Source organism: Homo sapiens, chromosome 10 (assembly GCF_000001405.40).
Source record: "Homo sapiens chromosome 10, GRCh38.p14 Primary Assembly".
Taxonomy (NCBI): Eukaryota; Metazoa; Chordata; class Mammalia; order Primates; family Hominidae; genus Homo; species Homo sapiens.
In genome coordinates, this window is record NC_000010.11 from 98,485,982 (window position 1) to 98,506,405 (window position 20,424).

Genomic DNA, 20,424 nt, shown 5'->3' on the forward strand with positions numbered 1-20,424 from the left:
GCAGTGGTCTGATTTCCACTTACATAGTTCCCCTGGGGAAGACAAACCAGTACAGCCCAGAGACCCACATATAGAGGCTCTCAGAACTCATAGCGCCTTCTCAGGTAGGAATTGGCATTAAAGACTGCCTCAGCCATCCCTCTCCCTGCTTGGCTTATGGGCAAGGACATTAAGCCAGGCCTTTTTGCTGCAAAGACACATTCTTGGCTGGCGAGTGCAGCACCAACCTGAAAGTAGTGTGTTGAGAATCCAAATTCCTGAGGAACATATATTCTCTGACCACAGAAAAATAATCTTGGAGAAAATGGTGTCTGAAGGCTTGGCCTGCAAGCATTTGCTGGCCCTCTGAGGTTATCAAGTCCAGGTGGCTTTTGGTTATCTTAGTGAATGTTCCTTTCAGGAGAGAAGTTGTCTGAGAGGACCATCTATCTTGCCCCATGTCTCACTCATGGGTGAGATTTTTTTTTCACCAGCAGAGAATCCATGTATCTGGAGTTCATTTTTTCTGGCTGTTCTTTTCCTGCCTGAGATTTCTCTGTGTTGCCATGGGAGGAGGCGGAAGTGAGTCAGGGAAAGGAGGCTGGAATTGGAATATCCTAAATGTAAGAGGTGGGGAATGTCATATGGGGAGGTGCATCTTGACTTCCAGATAGAAAACAGTCATGTTCTAGAAATGTCTCCAGTGAAGCTGGGAGGCTGGGAAAGGGAAAGGAGGATGATGCTTTGCAGTCCACGGTCATTCCCACTGAAAGTCAATGTGCTTGAAACTGGGTTGATCCATTGTCTCCAAATCTAATTCAAAGGTTTTGGGTTCGGTAAAAGCCAGGCCATGTTTTGCCAAACATTTTTTCCCTTAATTTCAAAGCCCCTGTGTATTTTAAGGGAAATTTAATCCACATGTTTCTGATTCATTTACACTTAACTCATCAAAATATTGTTTTGTAAGAGCCATTTGATGTCCAAGAAGCCTCAGGAACCATTTTTATGAGTCTTTAAAAAAACTTCTTCTGAAAAACAGGAAGTCATGTTTTGCCAATAATAAATGAACTTGAACCCCAAAAGGCTTAATTTTCCTTCAGCATCCACCAGGTTCCAATTGGTTCTGAACTTGGCTAAGGACCTCATCTCCACCCCAGAAACATACGTTGTTTCAGCAGAATGGCTCATAAAAAGAGGCTTCCTCATCAAAACTTGATTGTTCTCTGAACAAGAAGATCGAGGATGAGAACTGCCATTCTGTCAGTGTCCTAATTTGTTAATTCTAGAACAGAAAACAGAAAAGCACCTGCTGGTGGTGGTATGAGGATCTAACTTTTTCTCCTAAATTAATCATAAGAGACAGCACTCTACAAGATCAGAAATGACCCACAATGCAAGGGGCTGCCATGACAGGCGGTGAGGTATCCACATAGGGGTTGCATGACTGTCAGGGAGATGTGAAATGGATTCCTGTGTTGAATAGGCACTCGGCTGAATGATTTCTAAGGGCTCTTTCCAAATGTAACATTCTTTGCATTATTAATGCTGTTATTTGCATGTAGATGTGATACCGTAGAACCTTTGAAATTCAATAAAATAAGTGCAAATATCTGGAAAGATGCTTGTCACACAGCAAGTATTCAATACACACTGGAGTGCAGGGGTTGTTATTTTAATAGACACTTTCTCTGGATGATTCTACTCATAAGTTTATACCTTCTCCCCAATCCCTGTTTTGACCTGGGACAAATATTTTCAGAGTATTCGTCAAGGTTGAATAGTGTGAATCCACCATGCCCACTCTGGGATAATTCTGTGATTTTGGCCTATTGGCCACAGATAAATGACTCAGCAGTGCTTCCTTAATGGCACATGATTTCTCAGAGAGGTGAACAGATACTTCTTCTACCTTTGAGCTGCCCTAGCTGGACACTGACACCTGTTGACATGGAGGAGCCCTGCAACCTCAGCCAGCTCCGTGCATTCACTGTGGGTTTTCTTTATGAATCTAATAGGAACAAAAACACCTTCAACCCAGTTATTATCATTAGGGTCACATGTAGAACGGATTATGAAAGTCTTTTCTTTCTGTCTTTTTAACAGAGAGTGAGAGAGGTTGTACTGATAGAAGCCCAGTGACACCGTTTCTCTAGAGAGGTTCTGGAGTGACTTTGCATAGAAATTAGAGGAGAGCTGGTGGTGTAGACAGACAGTCTTGAATGCAGATAATTTCAGTAACTTGTTTGAGGTCTCATGCTATGGAATGGTAGAATTCCTAACCACTCCACCATACCATTTCCTTCTGGCTGATGTCGTAATATCAAAGGGGAAGAAAGCTCTAACTCTAAATCAACAGTAACATCTTGATGCCCAAATTCTGCATTTGTTCATTCATTTGCAAACCTTTCCTGGGATCTTCATGCCAGTCACTATATTAGACACCAAGAATACAAAAATGAATGAGACACTGGCCCTGAGTTCATGGTACACTCAGAATATTAATGACAACTTCCCATGAGGATGTTAAAGAATGAGGATGAACACTCGAGATCACGTGAGGAGGCTTCTATGAGGAGACGCAAATCCTGCTAAGCCCATGGCTGCAGATATTTTTTCCCCCAAGTCCTCAGATTAGCGGTATAAAGACCACAGACTGATATGCTTTCCAACAGGGATATAAGGTGCCAAGAGTAATTTTTCTATCTCGAGTCTGGGGGTCCACCTTTTGGGTGGTTACCTCAGGGCCAGGGCAGAGACAAGGAATACAATGTTTCCTTGTGTGATGATCAGATAACTCCAGGCCAAGGCCATAAAGCAGTCACTCTCTGTCAGGTATTGGATTGAGCTTCCTGTTGAGCAAAAGGGATGTTGAAAGCCTCTGGCCTCTGCCCAAGCCAGCCTCCCCTCATTTACAATAGGCACTTGTATCTACTGACAAGACAACTGGCCCCTGCCCCCCCTCTCCTCAGAGTGATTCTTTGAAAAGTCTTATCATGATAAATTAATTGGCTTGGCTCCTCTCTCATCAAGGAAGCAGAAGGAGCATCTGTTGTAACCTGACCACTCCAAGCTCTTTGTACTAGGTACTCCCCTTGATCAGTTCCTGATAGGCCTGGGCTGGAATGAAGGTCTGGCTGGAGGCACTTGCTTACCATTCCCTGCCCCGTATCCCCCCACCAGGTTTTCTTTGCATTAAGAGAAAGAGAAAGAATTATATTTTCCAGGGCAGCCTACTCTGCCTTAAACAGGAAGTGATGTAAGAAAGCCATATTTGGCCAGATGGATTTTGCTTTAGGCACCCCCCACCCCTGATTATAGTTTTCCCTTATGGTCTTCATGTGTCAAAATTTTTTATCTGCCAAGCTTATATTTATTGACAATTAATTTTCCTGTTTGTTTTAAAGACAACTGTAATGACAACCAGTTCTTCAGATCAAAAAGAGGATAACCCCACACTACCACATTAGGTTGTTGTCCAGAGCCCTCAGAAAAGGAAGCCCAGATTTCACTTAGCCTCTTAATTTTTAAAATAGCTGAAAAGATTTTCAAAACACTGGAAATGGCTCTAAAGCTGGCATGACCATCTCTGGGCACTCCTTTAGTTCTGGGGACCCCCAGCTTGACAAGCATTGGTCTAGGGCTAGGTTTCTAGCGGCATATCTCTCCAGCATGCATCTTAGAAAGGGAGATTTATTTTCTCAAGCTTTGCTGGTGGATCATAGGAAAAGATTTTATACCTCTTGACTTGGCTAAAGCTTAGGCACACAAAAAAGCCTCATGGGCATTACATCAACTGGCACAGAGAAAATGCTCAATAAAAATGTGTTGGATGAATAAGTAAATGAACAAATGGCAAGAATTTTAGGAACCTTTTATGATTAATCCTCTAAGTATGAGAAGGGAGCGTTTACTTGGAGTAAAAGCTATTTACCAGAAATTATTTGAAACCTCCAAAGAGCAGGTATGGTGATTCCAGAGGCAAAAAGTTTTTGATAAGATTAGTGAATGGAGATGAGTCTTGAAGGGGTCCCAAATGGTATGGGGTGGGAGCCCCTCAGGTGGCCTTTCTGCCATCTTTCTGAGGACTTACTTGTGGTGGTTTGTGCAGTGAGCATAAATCCTTAGTTTGTCCCGGATCACTCGGCCAGGCCGTGGCTTCCGCTGGAGCCCAGCCACATGCACAGCCAAGACTTTGGGGCCGATCAGGCGCTTGTAGAGGAGAGAGAGCCAGTAGTCCTGAGGAGAATAGAGAGGGAGAGGGTCAGCGAGAGAACACATGCTCAGGTGTTCTGAGTAAACATGACACACACACACACACACACACACACACACGGGCCAGAAATCACTTCCTACCTGGAGTCATGAGTCATGACCAATGCAGCCCTAAGCCTACAAGCATGGTCAGCCCCATGAAACACGAACGTGGGTTGATAATGAAATGGACACTGTCTAAAGTGGCCTTTCAACTAAACTGGGATGTGTAAGTGGAGTCGATCCACAGCAGCATATGAACAAATCAATCAAGGATTTTCATATATGAAATAAAACCATTTGAGGCTTTACATTTTCAACTTTCTTTTCCTATGACTTTACTTTTATAGCGGCTTATGATTTCTGTTTAATTATGGAATGGATTATTTCCATTCCTTAGAATTGTTACTAACATGATCATCCAAACTGTCATTCTCCAAATATTATCACTGAAGACTACTAGTGCAGTGGGACTGAGGTGAAGCTTCTCCACATAGGAGACCAGAGTCCTTGATTCCAGAGCCAGAAAGGCAAACAGAAAAATGTTTGCAACCACGGTGCTAATTCTTGGTTATCCTCAACAGTTTGACAATAAAAAGTGTAATTCTAAACTAAAAAGAATGTGATGCTTTAATCATTCCATGTGTAATTGATTTAAAAATTTTCAATCTGTGGCACACATTTATATGAGCTTACAAAAACCCACCTTAATTTCTGTTGCATTTGCTATTATCATATTTTGTGTTTGCATCTGACATAAATATAAAATTTACATTTCTGTTATGCAAGCTCTTACCAGCTATTGTGAGGTAATGACTTCAGTGTTTATAACTCACTGTATAAAACAGGGCTTCCTAATAACATTTAGGACCCCCTACCCCACTCAAATTCCTGAATTCAGTGAATATACTATTCAGTGCATACTCTTCAATGCCTTAAAGACATCAATCGTGATTTATTAAACTTCATATTTTCAGGCAGAAGCCTTCTGATAATCTTTTTTTTTTTTCTTGTGTGGTCATTTATAATATCAGCTGCTTAAAAATATCTGATGAACTGCATAAATCAGAATAAAGTCTCAAAGCCCCTTTGCCACTAGAATGGCTCCAAATCTGCCCTGAGTAGTGTGCTCTAAGCCATGCACAACCATTTACTTTAATTTTAAGTGGCCTTAGGATGGCTGTTAAATATGGTCTCCTAATATTAAAAAAGGCAAATAATCATTATCAATTATATAGATGGAAAAAGTGTTGTGGGTTTAAGATGCTCAAATTTGATTACAATTTCTGTGTTTTTGATGATTACTTTATGAAGTGGTTTTCACATTGCAAGGGAATTTCCACCTTTTTCTTACTGATTTGCAATGTACTTTCTTTTAAATAATAAAAGTAAAAAACTGTAAGTTAGCTAGGATTAGCTTACTATTTTCTCAGTAGCTCCTCTGATATAGTAATAGGGATTATTATTCTTATTTTACAGATATGAGAATGTTTCAAGGGGTATCTCAGGTCACAAAACTAGTGAATGGTAGACTATGAAAGCAAATAGGGATCCATTTGCCTCCAATGGCTGTACAACGCTTTCCTTCATGCTGTGAAGTACAAAGTCATATTATATAAAGACACAAGGCAGCTGAAAAACAAGGAATTCAACCTAAAGGGTGGGTATAGAATCCGGAAGGGATCCTTAGTTTTTTGTATAGAGGTTGCCAAAATTTAATTTCTGATTTTTACACTCACAAAGCATTTAGAACACAAGAACAGCAAATGCACAAAACACTTCTGTTTCTCCAATTCCGGCTCACTACAGTTCTTTCCCATTTTTCTTATCCTTCATTCCAATGTCTTATCACAAACACCCCTGTTTTTATTTAGGTAATTTGAAAAAGCTAAACAGGCTTTCTCTCAAACTTGCATTTGGGTATAGCCATTACCTTTGTGTCGTAGCAATTTTCACTTAATGTGAGACATGTTTGTAAGCAAGCCACTCACATTTGGAAAAAAGAGATATTATGTTTACGGTGGCTCACGCCTATAATCCCTGCACTTTGGGAGGCCGAGGTGGGCAGATCACGAGGTCAGGAGATCGAGACCATCCTGGCTAACACGGTGAAACCCGGTCTCTACTAAAAATACAAAAAATTAGCAGGGCGTGGTGATGGGCGCCTGTAGTCCCAGCTACTCGGGAGGCTGAGGCAGGAGAATGGCGTGAACCCAGGAGGCGGAGCTTGCAGTGAGCCGAGATTGCGCCACTGCACTCCAGCCTGGGCAACAGAACGAGATTCCGTCTCAAAAAAGACAAAAAAAAAAAAAAAAGAAAAGAAAAGAGATATTATGTTTATTACGTTTAATTCTCAATAATTATGTAGAGATAAAAAATAAACTTATATAATCCCCACCATAATTGAGTGGCAAACTTTAGATTTATTAACTTGAAACCTGTCTGCTTTTCAATAGGAGATAGCTAAATGCCATGTCACTCTCTAAAAAAGGAGATGAGGATACCTGGGTAAAACTCTAAAGATGTTTGGGATAGATATATAAAAGAAGTTGATAAGGTTAATTCCTAATGACCAACATTTTTTCCCAATTTTTTTTTACTGTGGGGAGATCCACATAACATAAAATTTACCATCTTAACCATTTTTAAGTGTACAGTTCAGTGGTATTATGTAAATTCATAATGTTGTATAACCATCACCACTGTCCATCTCTATAACTTGTCATCTTGTAAAACTGAAACTCTGTACCCATTAAACATTAACTCTTCATTCCCCCTCCCCCAATCTCTGGCAACCATCGTTCCACTTTCTGCCTCTGTGACTATTCTAAGTATCTCATATAAATGAACTCATAGTATTTGTCTTTTTGTGACTGGCTTATTTCACTTAGCATAGTGTCCTCAAGGTTCATCCATGTTGTAGCATATGTCAGAATTTTCTTCTTTTGTAAGGCTGAATAATATTCCATTGCATTTGTATACCACATTTGAACTTAATTTGCAGCCTAACACATGGCTTATCCTGCAAAATGTCCCATATGCAATGAGAAAAAATGTATATGCTATTGTTGCTGGGTAAAGTGTTTGGTGTGTCTGTTAGATCTAGTTGGTTTATTATGTTGTTTAACTCCTCTACTTCTTTATTTCTGTATTGTTTTCTTATCATTATTGAGAATGGGATATTGAAGTCTTCAACTGTTATTGCAGAAGTGTCTGTTTCTCTTTCAATTCTGGCAACTTTCACTTCATATTTTTTTGTGATCTGTAATCAGGTGTGTAAACATAATGTTATATATTATTGCTGCACTGAAACTTTTATTAATATATAATTTCCTTCTTTGTCTCTTATAATCTTTTAAAATTTAAAATCTATTTTGTCTGATATTAATAAAGCTGCCCCTACTCTCTTTTGGTTACTATTTTTATGGAATATATTTTTCCATCCTTTCAATCTGTTTGTGTTTTTGGGTCTAAAGTGAATCTCTGTGCAGACAGCATAGAGTTGGATCCTGTTTTTCTTTTAAAATCTTTTCTGCCAACCTCTGTCTTTTGACTGGAGAGTTTAATCAATTTACATTTAAAGTAACTACTGATAAGGAGGGACATCTGTCATTTTGCTGTTTTCTATGTTACAGCTTTTTTGTACCTCCTTTCCTATATCACTATCTTCTTTTGTGTTTAGTTGATATTTTTTAGTGAAATGTTTAAATTCCTTTCTCATTACCTTTTGTGCATATTCTATAACTATTTTCTTTGTGGTTACTTTGGTATTACATTTAACATCCTAATTATAACACTCTAATTTGCATTTATACCAGCTTAACTTTAACAACATACAAAAACTCTGCTCCTTTACAGCTCTGTCCTCACCCTTCTCAATTGTTTGAAATGCTTGTTCTCCGGTGCCATAAAGAAATAGCACTTGAACATAAATTTAATTTATTTAGTAAGGCCATTTTTACTTCCTGCAGAAAGGGTACACCTGCAAGCAGTTTTGCCATGAGAGTATACTGAACAAAGGAGACAGGGTCATTTATAACCTGACGCATCCACCCTACTGCTATGTCTGGTTTCCATTGGCTGGAACGGGACCTCACATTCTGTATTTGTCCCAATTGGCTAGCAACTTAGAACTGTTTAAAAGAGGCAAAGGTAGAGGAGAACAAAGGAAGGAGGAAGTAACTTGTGGAATGCTGAGAAAGATAAAAACACTTTTAAATAAGGAAGAGGAACAGGCTATGACCTAATGCTTGCTTGGACCAATATAAGCATGCCAGGGCAAATATTTAGGCTAAATTGTGGGAGCTAAGAACATAAAGTACATTGATTTCTTTATTATGGCTAGCAGATATTTAAGAATGTTAGCACAGGTCTTTGAATAAATTTTGCTTTTAAGAGAAGTTACTATTTATTCCTAATTAGACAGGGAGGAAAGTCTTTGAAGAGGAACTTCTATTTCTCTTTTTACATCAATGGTTGATGTCACAAAATTACATCTTGATACATTGTGTGTCCCCAAAACATAAACTGATAATTCTTTTAAATACATTATTCTCATAAATTATGTAGAAACAAAAATTGGAGTTACAAACCAAAGTAACAATAACACTAGCTTCTAGACTAATAATTGTTTTTAAAAGAGGTATTAGTCTGTTAAAACATGCAGAAAAAAAGTTTAAAACCTATTGTCTTAATAGGAGTTAAAACCTATTATTACAATAATGCCAGCTTGTATATTTGCTCATATACTTAATATTTATTGAGATCTTTATTTTTTCATACAACATTGAATTACTGTCTAGTATACTTTCATTGCAACAAGCAGGACTCCCTTAAGCATTTTTTGCAGAGCAAGTCTAGTCATCACAAAATCTCTCAGCTTTTCTTTATTTGAGAATGTCTTAATTTCTCCCCTACTTTTGAAGAAAAAATTTTGATGGATATAGGATTCTTTGTTGACAGTTTTTTTTTTTCTTTTAGCACTTTGCATATATTGGCTCACTGCCTTCTGGCCTTCAAAGTTTCTGATGAGAAATCTGCTGATAATCTTACTAAGAATTACTTATATTTGGCAATTCACTTCACTCATGCTGCTTTCAAGATTTGATTTGGCCTTTAAAATCTGATTAAAAGTGTCTTGGTGTGGGTCTCTTTAGATTCATCTTATTTAGAATTCATTGAGCTTCTTGGATGTTTATGTGCATGTTCTTTATCAAATTTGAGACGTTTTCAGCCATTATTTCATTGATTATTTTCTGTGATCCTTTTTCTCTTCTCCTTCTGGGACTCCCACAGTGTGTATATTAGTCCACTTAATGGTGTCCCCCAGGTCCCTTTGGCCCTGTTCATTTTTCTTCAATCTTTTTTCTTTCTGTTCCTCAGACTAGATAATTTCCACTGTCTTTGAATTTGCTGATTCTCTCTTCTGACTGCTCCAATTTGCCTTTGAATTCCTCTAATAAATTTTTATTTCAGTCACTATATTTTTCAGCTCCAGAATTTTTTTTTTTGTTTCTTTACAGGTTTTCTTTCTCTTTACTGATATTCCATTTTGTTTATACATCATTTTCTTGACTGTTTCCACATCTTCATTTAACGTCTTCAAGAGAATTGGTTTAAAGTCTTTGCTTAGTAGATCTGCCATCAAGTCTTTTTCAATAATGGTTTCTATGGATTTATTTATTTTTTTCTTTGAATGAGCCATACTTTCTTGTTTATTTGTATGCTTTGTAATTTTGTTGTTGTTGTTGGAAACTGGACATTTGAATCTAATAATGTGGTGACTCTGGAAATCACATCCTCTTCCTCCCTAGGGTTTGCTGATTTTTAGTTGTTTTTGGTGTGTGTGTGTGTGTAAGTGTGGGTGAGTATGTGTGTGTTTAATTATTGTAGGCTGCCTCTGTGCCAAGGATCAGCCTGAGGTACAAACTTAAGGTCTTCTCAGGTCTTTTTTGAGCCTGCACCTTTTCTTGGGTATGCGTACTTTCTACTTTTCCCTGTATACACAGTTGCTTTTGAATGTTCCTGTATTTAATGTGTGAAAGGAAAAAGAGGAAAAAAGGAGGAGAGTAAAAAAACAAAACAAAACAAAAAGGCACCAATCTTTTAAATCCCCTACAGTCACTTCAGCCAGAGGGGGAGAGGCTTACATCAATGGAGAGAGGTGCAACAACAGTGGTTGCCTGCCTCTTTATCTGCACCTTTTGGTCAGAAGCAGTAATCAGAGATGAGAGTAGAGATCCTTGGTATTTAGAGGATGGGGTATTTTTTGACCACTCTGACTTCCTGCAAGCTGTATGCAAACTGCTCCAGGAACACATACACAGCTACCTGCCATAGGGCTAAGAGGTGGGGAATGGGTAGTCACTACTGAGCTAAGAGCTGAAATTGACCAAAATTAACTGCAATTCACCTTCCTAGCTTTCCCTTGAAACTTGCAAGACTTTAATAGACCTTAGAGTTCTAAAACAGTTACATGAGACAGACTCTGCCAGTGCAATTGTTGTCTGAGTGAAGAGACAGATTCATGATGCTTCCTATTCTACCATCTTTCCAGAATCCTCTGTAACATAGCTTTTAATTTTGGTAGTAACAATCCTTTAGTTGTATACAGTATAAATATTCTGTTCAAGTTTGTAGTTTGACTTTTATCACTTTTTATGGTTTTTTGACATGGAGAATTAAAAAAAAATTATAGGAAAACACATCAATATTTTTCTCTTGGTTTCTTTTTTTAATTCTTAGTAAGTCCTTCCTCATATAAGGATTAGATACATCTTCACTTATATTTCTTCTAGTTCTTTTTTATATTATTTAAAGATTTAAACTTTTAATTCATTGAAAATGATTTGATGTATACTATTAAGTTTGCTATTTTTTAAGTAGTCTAGTAATTATTTTAGTATCATATAATGAATAACCTATCCGTAAGCCCATCCTTATCACATACTAAGTAATAGTAAGTCTTCACTTAATGTCATCAAGAGGTTCTTGGAAATTGTGACTTTAAGTGAAATGATGTGTAACAAAACCACTTTTTTCCTCATCAACATTACAATGAAATGACATTGAGCAAAATGACATTATTTGAGGATTTGCTGTACATCATTTCACTTAAAGTCACAGTTTCTAAGAATCTATCAATGACATTAAATGAGGACTTTGTGTGTATGTGTGTGCATCTTATGATGTGGGATATTCATGATATACTGATAAACAATATATATAATTCTGTGTCTAGATTTTCTATTCTCTTCCACTGAACTCTCAATTTTTAATCAGTTTCACAGCATTTTCATTATTATCATTTATTTTAATATCTACAGATTCAAGTCTATTTCATTATACTTTTATTATTTTGTTCAAACTTTTCTTATTTAGGCATATTTATTTAAAGCATTTTTGAAATTGATACATAATCAATATACATATTTTCAGGGTGCATGCAATAATTTAATTTGATCACAAATTTGTAAATATCAAGTCAATGTAACTGAGATTTCCATCACCTCATACTCATTTGTTTTTCCAAATAAATTTTGAAATCATTTTCTTTTTTAAAAATGTCAATATTGACCTCAAGCAGAATGAGATCATTTTCTTGTAGCACTGTTGCAGAGAATTTTGAAGCTAGCATGATTTTTGTTCTATGTATAGGTAGCCTGTTTATTTTCTAGTATTTGTGTTTTGCTAGGATGCTTATAGAAGTCATGTTTTATCCTTAATTTTATGAACTTTGGCCAGAAATCTGTCAATATGAGTTTCTGCATTAATTTGCCAGTATTAGGGAGAGCACTTTTGATCCGAAAGACAAACACTTTTCTTTAGCCTCTGAGAACTTTCTTTAAATATAGCTTTGAGGAGATTGGATCATCATGGTGGACGGGAGGCAGGACTAGATTGCAGCTCCAACTCGGACAGACAAAGCAGCATGCGGAGGCTCGCATCGTGAATTTTAGCTCCAGATCAACTGCAAGAACAACCAGCAATCCTGAGAGGACCCACAGACCCTCTGAAGGAAGTGGACTGCTTCTGCAGGACCTGGGAGACACCCTAAATACTGTGCTGGTATCCATGGCTGAGGGACCCATAGATGGTTCCCATCACAGGACTCTGCAGACAACCCCCAGTACCAGCTCGGAACTGGGTAGACTTGCTGGGTGGCTAGACCCAGAAGACAGACAACAATCACTGCAGTTCAGCTCACAGGAAGCCACATCCATAGGAAAAGGAGGAGAGTACTACATCAAGGGAACACCCCATGGGACAAAAGATTCTGAACAACAGCCTTTAGCTGTAGACCTTCCTTCCCTCTGACAGAGCCTACCCAAATGAGAAGCAACCAGAAAACCAACTCTGGTGATATGACAAAACAAGGCCCTTTAACACCCCCAAAAAATCACACTGGTTCACCAGCAATGGATCCAAACCAAGAAGAAATCCCTGATTTACCTGAAAAAGAATTCAGGAGGTTAGTTATTAAACTAATCAGGGAGGCACCAGAGAAAGGTGAAGCCCAGTGCAAGGAAATCCAAAAAACAATACAAGAAGTGAAGGGAGAAATATTCAAGGAAATAGATAGCATAAAGAGAAAGCAATCAAAACTACAGGAAACATTGGACACACTTATAGAATTGCAAAATGTTCTGGAAAGTCTCAGCAATAGAACTGAACAAGTAGAAGAAAGAAATTCAGATCTCAAGGATAAGGTCTTCAAATTAACCCAATCCAACAAAGACAAAGAAAAAATAATAAGAAAACATGAACAAAGCCTCCAAGAAGTCTCGGATTATGTTAAATGATGAAACCTAAGAATAATTGGTGTTCCTGAGGAAGAAGAGAAATCTCAAAGTTCGGAAAACATATTTGGGGGAATAATCGAGGAAAACTTCCCTGGCCTTGCTAGAGACCTAAACACCCAAATACAAGAAGCACAAAAATCACCTGGGAAATTCCTCACAAAAAGATCATCACCTAGGCATATTGTCATCAGGTTATCTAAAGTTAAGATGAAGGAAAGAATCTTAAGAGCTGTGAGACAGAAACACCAGGTAACCTATAAAAGAAAACCTGTCAGATTAACAGCAGATTTCTCAGCAGAAACCCTACAAGCTAGAAGGGATTGGGGCCCTATCTTCAGCCTCCTGAAACAAAACAATTATCAGTCAAGAATTTTGAATCCAGCGAAACTAAGCATCATATATGATGGAAAAATACAGTCTTTTTCAGACAAACAAATGTTAAGAGAATTCGCCACTACCAAGCCACCACTACAAGAACTGCTAAAAGGAGCTCTGAACTTTGAAACAAATCCTGGAAACACATCAAAACAGAACCTCTTTAAAGCATAAATCACACAGGACCTATAAAACAAAAATACAAGTTAAAAAGCAAAAACAAAAACCAAAAAAACCAAGGTACACAGGCAACAAGCAGCAGGATGAATGCAAAGGTACCTCACATCTCAGTACTAACATTGAATGTAAATGGCCTCCATGCTCCACTTAAAAGATACAGAACTGTAGAATGGATAAGAACTCAACAACCAACTATCTGCTGCCTTCAAGAGACTCACCTAACACATAAGGACTCACATAAAGTAAAGGGGTGGAAAAAGGCATTTCATGCAAATGGACACCAAAAGCAAGCAGGGGTAGCTATTCTTTTTTCAGACAAAACAAACTTTAAAGCAACAGCAGTTAAAAGAGACAAAGAGGGACATTATATAATGGTAAAAGGCCTTGGCTAACAGGAAAATATCACAATCCTAAACATATATGCACCTAACACTGGAACTCCCAAATTTATAAAACAATTACTAATAGACCTAAGAAATAAGATAGACAGCAACACAGTAATAGTGGGGGACTTCAATACTCCACTGACAGCAGTAGGCAGGTCATCAAAAGACAGAAAGTCAACAAAGAAACAATGGATTTAAACTATACCTTGGAACAAATGGACTTAACAGATATATATAGAACATTTCACCCAACGACTGCAGAATACACATTCTACTCAATAGTTCATGGAACTTTCTCCAAGATAGAACATATGACAGGCCATAAAATGAATCTCAATAAACTTAAGAAAACTGACATTATATCAAGCACTCTCTCAGACCACAGTGGAATAAAACTGGAAATCAACTCCAAAAGGAATCTTCAAAACCATGCAAATACATGAAAATTAAATAACCTGCTCCTGAATGAGCATTGGGTCAAAAACGAAATCAAGATAGAAATTAAAAAATTATTCAAACGAAATGACAATAATGACACAACCTGTCAAACCCTCTGGGATACAGCAAAGGCGGTGCTAAGAGGAAAGTTCATAGCCCTAAATGCCTACATTGAAAAGACTGAAAGAGCACAGACTGACATTCTAAGGTCACACCTCAAGGGACTAGAGAAGCAAGAACAAACCAAACCCAAACCCAAAAGAAGAAAGGAAATAACCAAGATCAGAGCAGAGCTAAATGAAATTGAAACAAACAAAAAATACAAAAGATAAATGAAACAAAAAGCTGGTTCTTTAAAAAGATAAATAAAATTGATAGACCATTAGCAAGAATAACCAAGAAAAGAAGAAAAGAAGATTAAGAAAAGAAGAGAGAAAGTCTAAATAACCTCATTAAGAAATGAAACAGGAGATATTACAACTGACACCACTGAAATACAAGAGATCACTCAAGGCTACTTGTGAACACCTTTATGCACATAAACTAGAAAACCTAGAAGAGGTGGATAAATTCCTGGAAAAATACCCTCCTAGCTTAAGTCAGGAAGAATTTGATACCCTGAAGAGACCAATAACAAGCATTGAGATTGAAATGGTAATTTAAAAATTACCAACAAAAAAAAAAGTCCAAGACTACACGGATTCACAGCAGAATTCTACCAGACACTCAAAGAATTGGTACCAATTCTTTTGACACTATTCCAAAAGATACAGAAAGAAGGAACCCTCCCTAATTCATTCTATGAAGCCAGCATCACCCTAAAACCAAAACCAGGAAAGAACATAACCAAAAAAAGAAAACTACAGACCAATATCCTTGATGAACATAGATGCTAAAATCCTTAACAAAATACTAGCTAACTGGATCAATCCAACAACATATCAAAAAGATATTCTACCATGATCAAGGGGATTTCATACTAGGGATGTAGGAATGGTTTATCATATGCAAGTCAATAAATGCAATACACCACATAAACAGAATTAAAAACAAAAATCACATGATCATCTCAATAGATGCAGAAAAAGCACTTGACAAAATCCAGCATCTCTTTATGATTAAAACTCTCCAGCAAAATCAGTATACAAGGGACATACCTCAATGTAATAAAAGCCATCTGTGACAAACCACAGCCAACATAATACTGAATGGGGAAACGTTGAAAGCATTCCCTCTGAGAACTGGAACAAGACAAAGATGCCCACTCTCCTCACTCCTCTTCAACATAGTATTGGAAGTCCTAGCCAGAGCAATCAGACAAGAGAAAGAAAGGGCATCCAAATTGGTAAACAGGAAGTCAAACTGTCACTGTGTGCTGATGATATGATCGTTTACTTTGAAACCCCTGAAGACTCCTCCAAGAAAGCTCCTAGAACTAATAAAATAATTCAGCAAAGTTTCTGAATACAAGATTAATGTACACAAATTGGTAGCTCTTCTATACACCAACAGCAACCAAGTGGAGAATCAAATCAAGAACTCAACCCCTTTTACAATATCTGCAAAAAAAAAAACAAACTTAAAAATATACCTAACCAAGGAAGTGAAAGACCTCTACAAGGAAAACTACAAAACACTGCTTAAAGAAATCACAGATGACACAAACAAATGGAAACACATCCCTTACTCATGGATGGGTAGAGTCAATATTGTGAAAATGACCATACTTCCAAAAGCAATCTATAAATTCAATGCAATCCCCATCAAAATACTGCCATTATTCTTCACAGAATTTGAAAAAACAATTCTAAAATTCATATGGAACCAAAAAAGAGCCTGCATAGCCACAGCAAGACTAAGCAAAAAGAACAAATTGAGAGGCATCGCACACTACCTGATTTCAAACTATACTATTAGGCCATAGTCACCAAAACAGCATGGTAATGGTATAAAAATAGGCATATAGACCAATGGAACAGAATAGGGAACCTAGGAATCAACCCACATACTTACAGCCAACTGATCTTCGACAAAGCAAACAAAAAAATAAAGAGGGGAAACGTTACACTTTTCAACAAATGGTGCTAGGATAACTGGCTAGCCACATGTAGGAGAATGAAACTGGATCCTCATCTCTCACCTTATACAAAAATCAGCTCAAGCTGGATTAAGAACTTAAATCTACAATCTGAAACTATAAAAATTCTAGAAGACAACATTGGAAAAATCCTCTAGACATTGGTTTAGGCATGGATTTCATGAACAAGAACCCAAAAGCAAATGCAATAAAAACAAAGATAAATAGTTGGGACTTAATTAAACTAAAGCGCTTTTGCACACCAAAAGGAACAGTCAGCAGAGTAAACAGACAATCTATACATCTGTCAAAGGATTAGTATCCAGAATCTACAACGAACTCAAACAAATCAGTAAGAAAAAAACAAACAATCCATCAAAAAGTGGGCTAAGGACATGAATAGACAATACTCAAAAGAAGATTTACAAATGGCCAACAAACATATGAAAAAATGCTCAATAGGCCTGGTGCAGTGGCTCACGCCTGTAATCCCAGCAGTTTGGGAGGCCGAGGCGGGTGGATCACCTGAGGCCAGGAGTTTGAGATCAGCCTGGCCAACATGGTGAAACCCCGTCTCTATTAAAAATACAAAAATTAGCTGGGCATGGTGGCAGGCATCTGTAATCTCAGCTACTCAGGAGGCTGAGGCAGGAGAGTTGCTGGAACCCGGGAGGTGGAGGTTGCAGTGAGCCAAGATCGCGCCATTGCACTCCAGCCTGGGTGACAACAGCAAGACTCCATCAGAAAAAAAGAAAAAGAAAAAAAGAAAAAAAGAAAAAAAAGAGTAAAAGAAAACACTCAACATAACTAATGATCAGGGAAATGCAAATCGAAACCACAATGCAATACCACCTTACTCCTACAAGAATGGCTGTAATCAAAAAATCAAAAAACAGTAGTTGTTGGTGTGGATGCAGTGAACAGGGAACACTTCTACACTGCTGGTGGGAATGTAAACTAGTACAGCCACTATGGAAAACAGTGTGGAGATTCTGTAAAGAACTAAAAGTGGAACTACCATTTCATCCAGCAATCCCACTACTGGGTATCTACCCAGAGGAAAATAAGTCATTATATGAAAAAGATACTTGCACACGCATGTTTATAGCAGCACAATTCACAATTGCAAAATCATGGAACCAACCCAAATGCCCACCAATCAACAAGTGAATAAAGAAACTGTGGTATATTTATACAATGGAATGCTACTCAGCCATAAAAAGGATGAATTAATGGCATTTGCAGTGACCTGGTTGAGACTGGAGGCTATTATTCTAAGTAAACTAACTCAGGAATGTAAAACCAAACATGTTCTCACTGATAATGTGGGAGCTAAGGTATGAGGATGCAAAGGCATAAGTATGGTTCAGTGGACTTTGGGGACTTGGTGGGAAGAGTGGGAGGGGAGCAAGCGATACAAGACTACAAATAGGGTGCAGTGTATACTGCTCAAGTGATGGGCACAGCAAAATCTTACAAATCACCACTAAAGAACTTACTCATGTAACCAAATACCACCTTTACCCCAATAACTTATGGGAAAAAAATCAGTGAATAACTTATTTAGATTTTTTTGGATTAAGGTAGAATACGAAAGGTGAAATAAATAAATAAATATAGCTTTGAATTCGTATTTCTTTCTATTGCTCCAATCTCTGCTTCAGGAATCTATTAGATCTCTATCCTCAGTTCTGCACATCATCTCCTTTCTGATTATTTTTTAAACATTTTGTTTTTCACTCTGCAAGAGGTTGTCTCAAGTTTGTCTTCCACATTGCTATACCTATTTTTTTCAGGACTATTTCTGTTATTTACTATGTTCAATGAACATTTTAATTGTTATTATAATTTTAGTTTCCTTGTAATCTTTTCTTGTCTCCTTTAGCTCACCTTATTGTCTGACTCTCATTTAAATTTTTTTCCATTTTATGTATATTATGTATGTGTTTTCCATATACAGCAGACTATATGTAACTTACATGATAGTTCTGAAGCACATGAGAACCTACCATCCACTGTAAAAGCTACTGTAATAGGGCCAGGTGCATTGGCTCATGCCTATAATCCCAGCACTTTGGGAGGCCGAGGTTGCCGGATCACGAGGTCAGGAGATCAAGACCACCCTGGCTAACACCATGAAACCTCGTCTCTACTAAAAATACAAAAACAAAATTAGCTGGGCGTGGTGGCAAGCACCTGTAGTCCCCGCTATTCAGGAGGCTGAGGCGGGAGAATGGCGTGAACCCAGGAGGTGGAGCTTGCAGTGAGCTGAGATCGCACCACTGCACTCCAGCCTGGGTGACAGAGGGAGACTCCGTCTCAAAAAAAAAAAAAAAAAAGCTACCGTAATACCCATACTGTTGCATTGAGTTATGTGATTCTTTTCTTTGCCATTATTTCCTTACTTTATATTTTACAGCTTTATCCACATATCTACTCATAAGCAATATATTATTCAGTGTGTTAGCTTTATAAAAATGGTACGTAATTTCCTGTGTCTTAATTTTTTCACTTAACTTTATGCTTCTAAGATTCATCCAGGTTATTACATGCACTTACAGTTTGTTCCTTTTTAATTTTGTATAATACTTCTTTGTGTGAACATCCTACAATTTATTTATCTATTCTCCTACTGATGGATATGTGTGTCCAGATTTTGCTATTATAAGCAATGTGGTTTTGAAATTCTTGTTCCTGTTTCCTTATATACAAGTAAGAAAATCTAGAGGAATGTTACTCCAACTGTGACTGGGGACCAGCAGCAACTTCATCAGCTGGGTGCTTCAAAGAAATGCAAATTAACGGACTTCACCCCAGGCCTAATGATTTAGAATCTCCAGGGAGTGAGGATCCAAAATTGTGCGACACTCCAGGTGATTCTGATGCTCATTAAAGTTTAAGAAGCTCGTTCTAGAGTATATACCTAAGAGTGGAATTGCTGTGTCATATACAGGTATATGTATGACACTTTACAGGATAATGCCCAGTTGTTTCCCAAAGGTGATTCCAGCTATTCCAACTATACTCCCTCCACCAGTGTCCGTATGGATCTCCTCTTGATTTACATCCTTGCCCACACTCATCACTTTCAGACTTCTTAATTTTCTCTTTTTGTGTGTTAAGAAGTCCTTCCCTATAACTAGTTCATAAAGATATTCTATATTTTCTTTTTAAACTTTTAAAGTTCTTTTTCTTTCATGGATAAGTCTTTAACCAATCTAGAATTGGTCTGGGGTACTTATGAGATAGGTATATAATTTCATATTTTTCCGTATGGATAGTCCAATTATACCAGCATCATTTATTACATCATCTCTCCTTTCTTTAGTGATCTGAAATGCCCCGTGTCCTGTATTAAACTCCCACATATTCATGAGTCTGTTTCTGGACCTCTATTCTGCCCTGTTTCTTTGTCCTGTACTAATACCACACTGTTTTAATTACCATTGTTTTATATTGTGTTGAAATCTGATAGAGCAAGTCCTCCTTTCTTAGAAATGGCTTTGTTAATCGTTAGTCTTTGCTCAGTTATAGACACTTCGGCATCAGATTATCTAGTATCTAAACAAAATCTGTTGGAACTTTGGAATTGCATAGAATTTATAATTCAAATAAGAAGAATTTACCTTTTTATGATACTGAGTCTTTTTATCTATAAAGATGAAAAAAACTGAAAAAGAACTCCTTCCAAGTAGGGAATCTTTATTTTCTCTTTGTGCTTTGAAGGTGAAAGTTCCCAATTATGTACTTTTTCTCTATTAAGAAATGGTCCTAGATCTTTTATAATGAAAATAAATCTTTAATGGAGGAGAAAATGTGAAAACCTTTTCAGTTTAGAGAATTAAGTCAAAAAACATTTTATTTTTGGGAGTTTGCTATTAACCATTTAGTAGTATGCAAAGCAATAAGGAAAATACAGTGTTAACCCCCAAACTTG

General features: G+C 37.4%; 1 protein-coding gene across 12 annotated transcripts in view; it reads right to left on the bottom strand.

The window, feature by feature from the left end:
* HPSE2 (heparanase 2 (inactive)) overlaps positions 1 to 20,424 on the bottom strand; it is an 858,875-nt gene that overhangs the window by 28,905 nt on the left and 809,546 nt on the right. For all 12 annotated transcript variants that reach the window (XM_047425614.1, NM_001166245.1, XM_011540030.2 and 9 more), the window contains one exon: positions 4,070 to 4,215. In XM_047425614.1, coding sequence (XP_047281570.1) covers positions 4,070 to 4,215 — 146 coding nt within the window. The remainder of the gene's footprint in view (positions 1 to 4,069; positions 4,216 to 20,424) is intronic.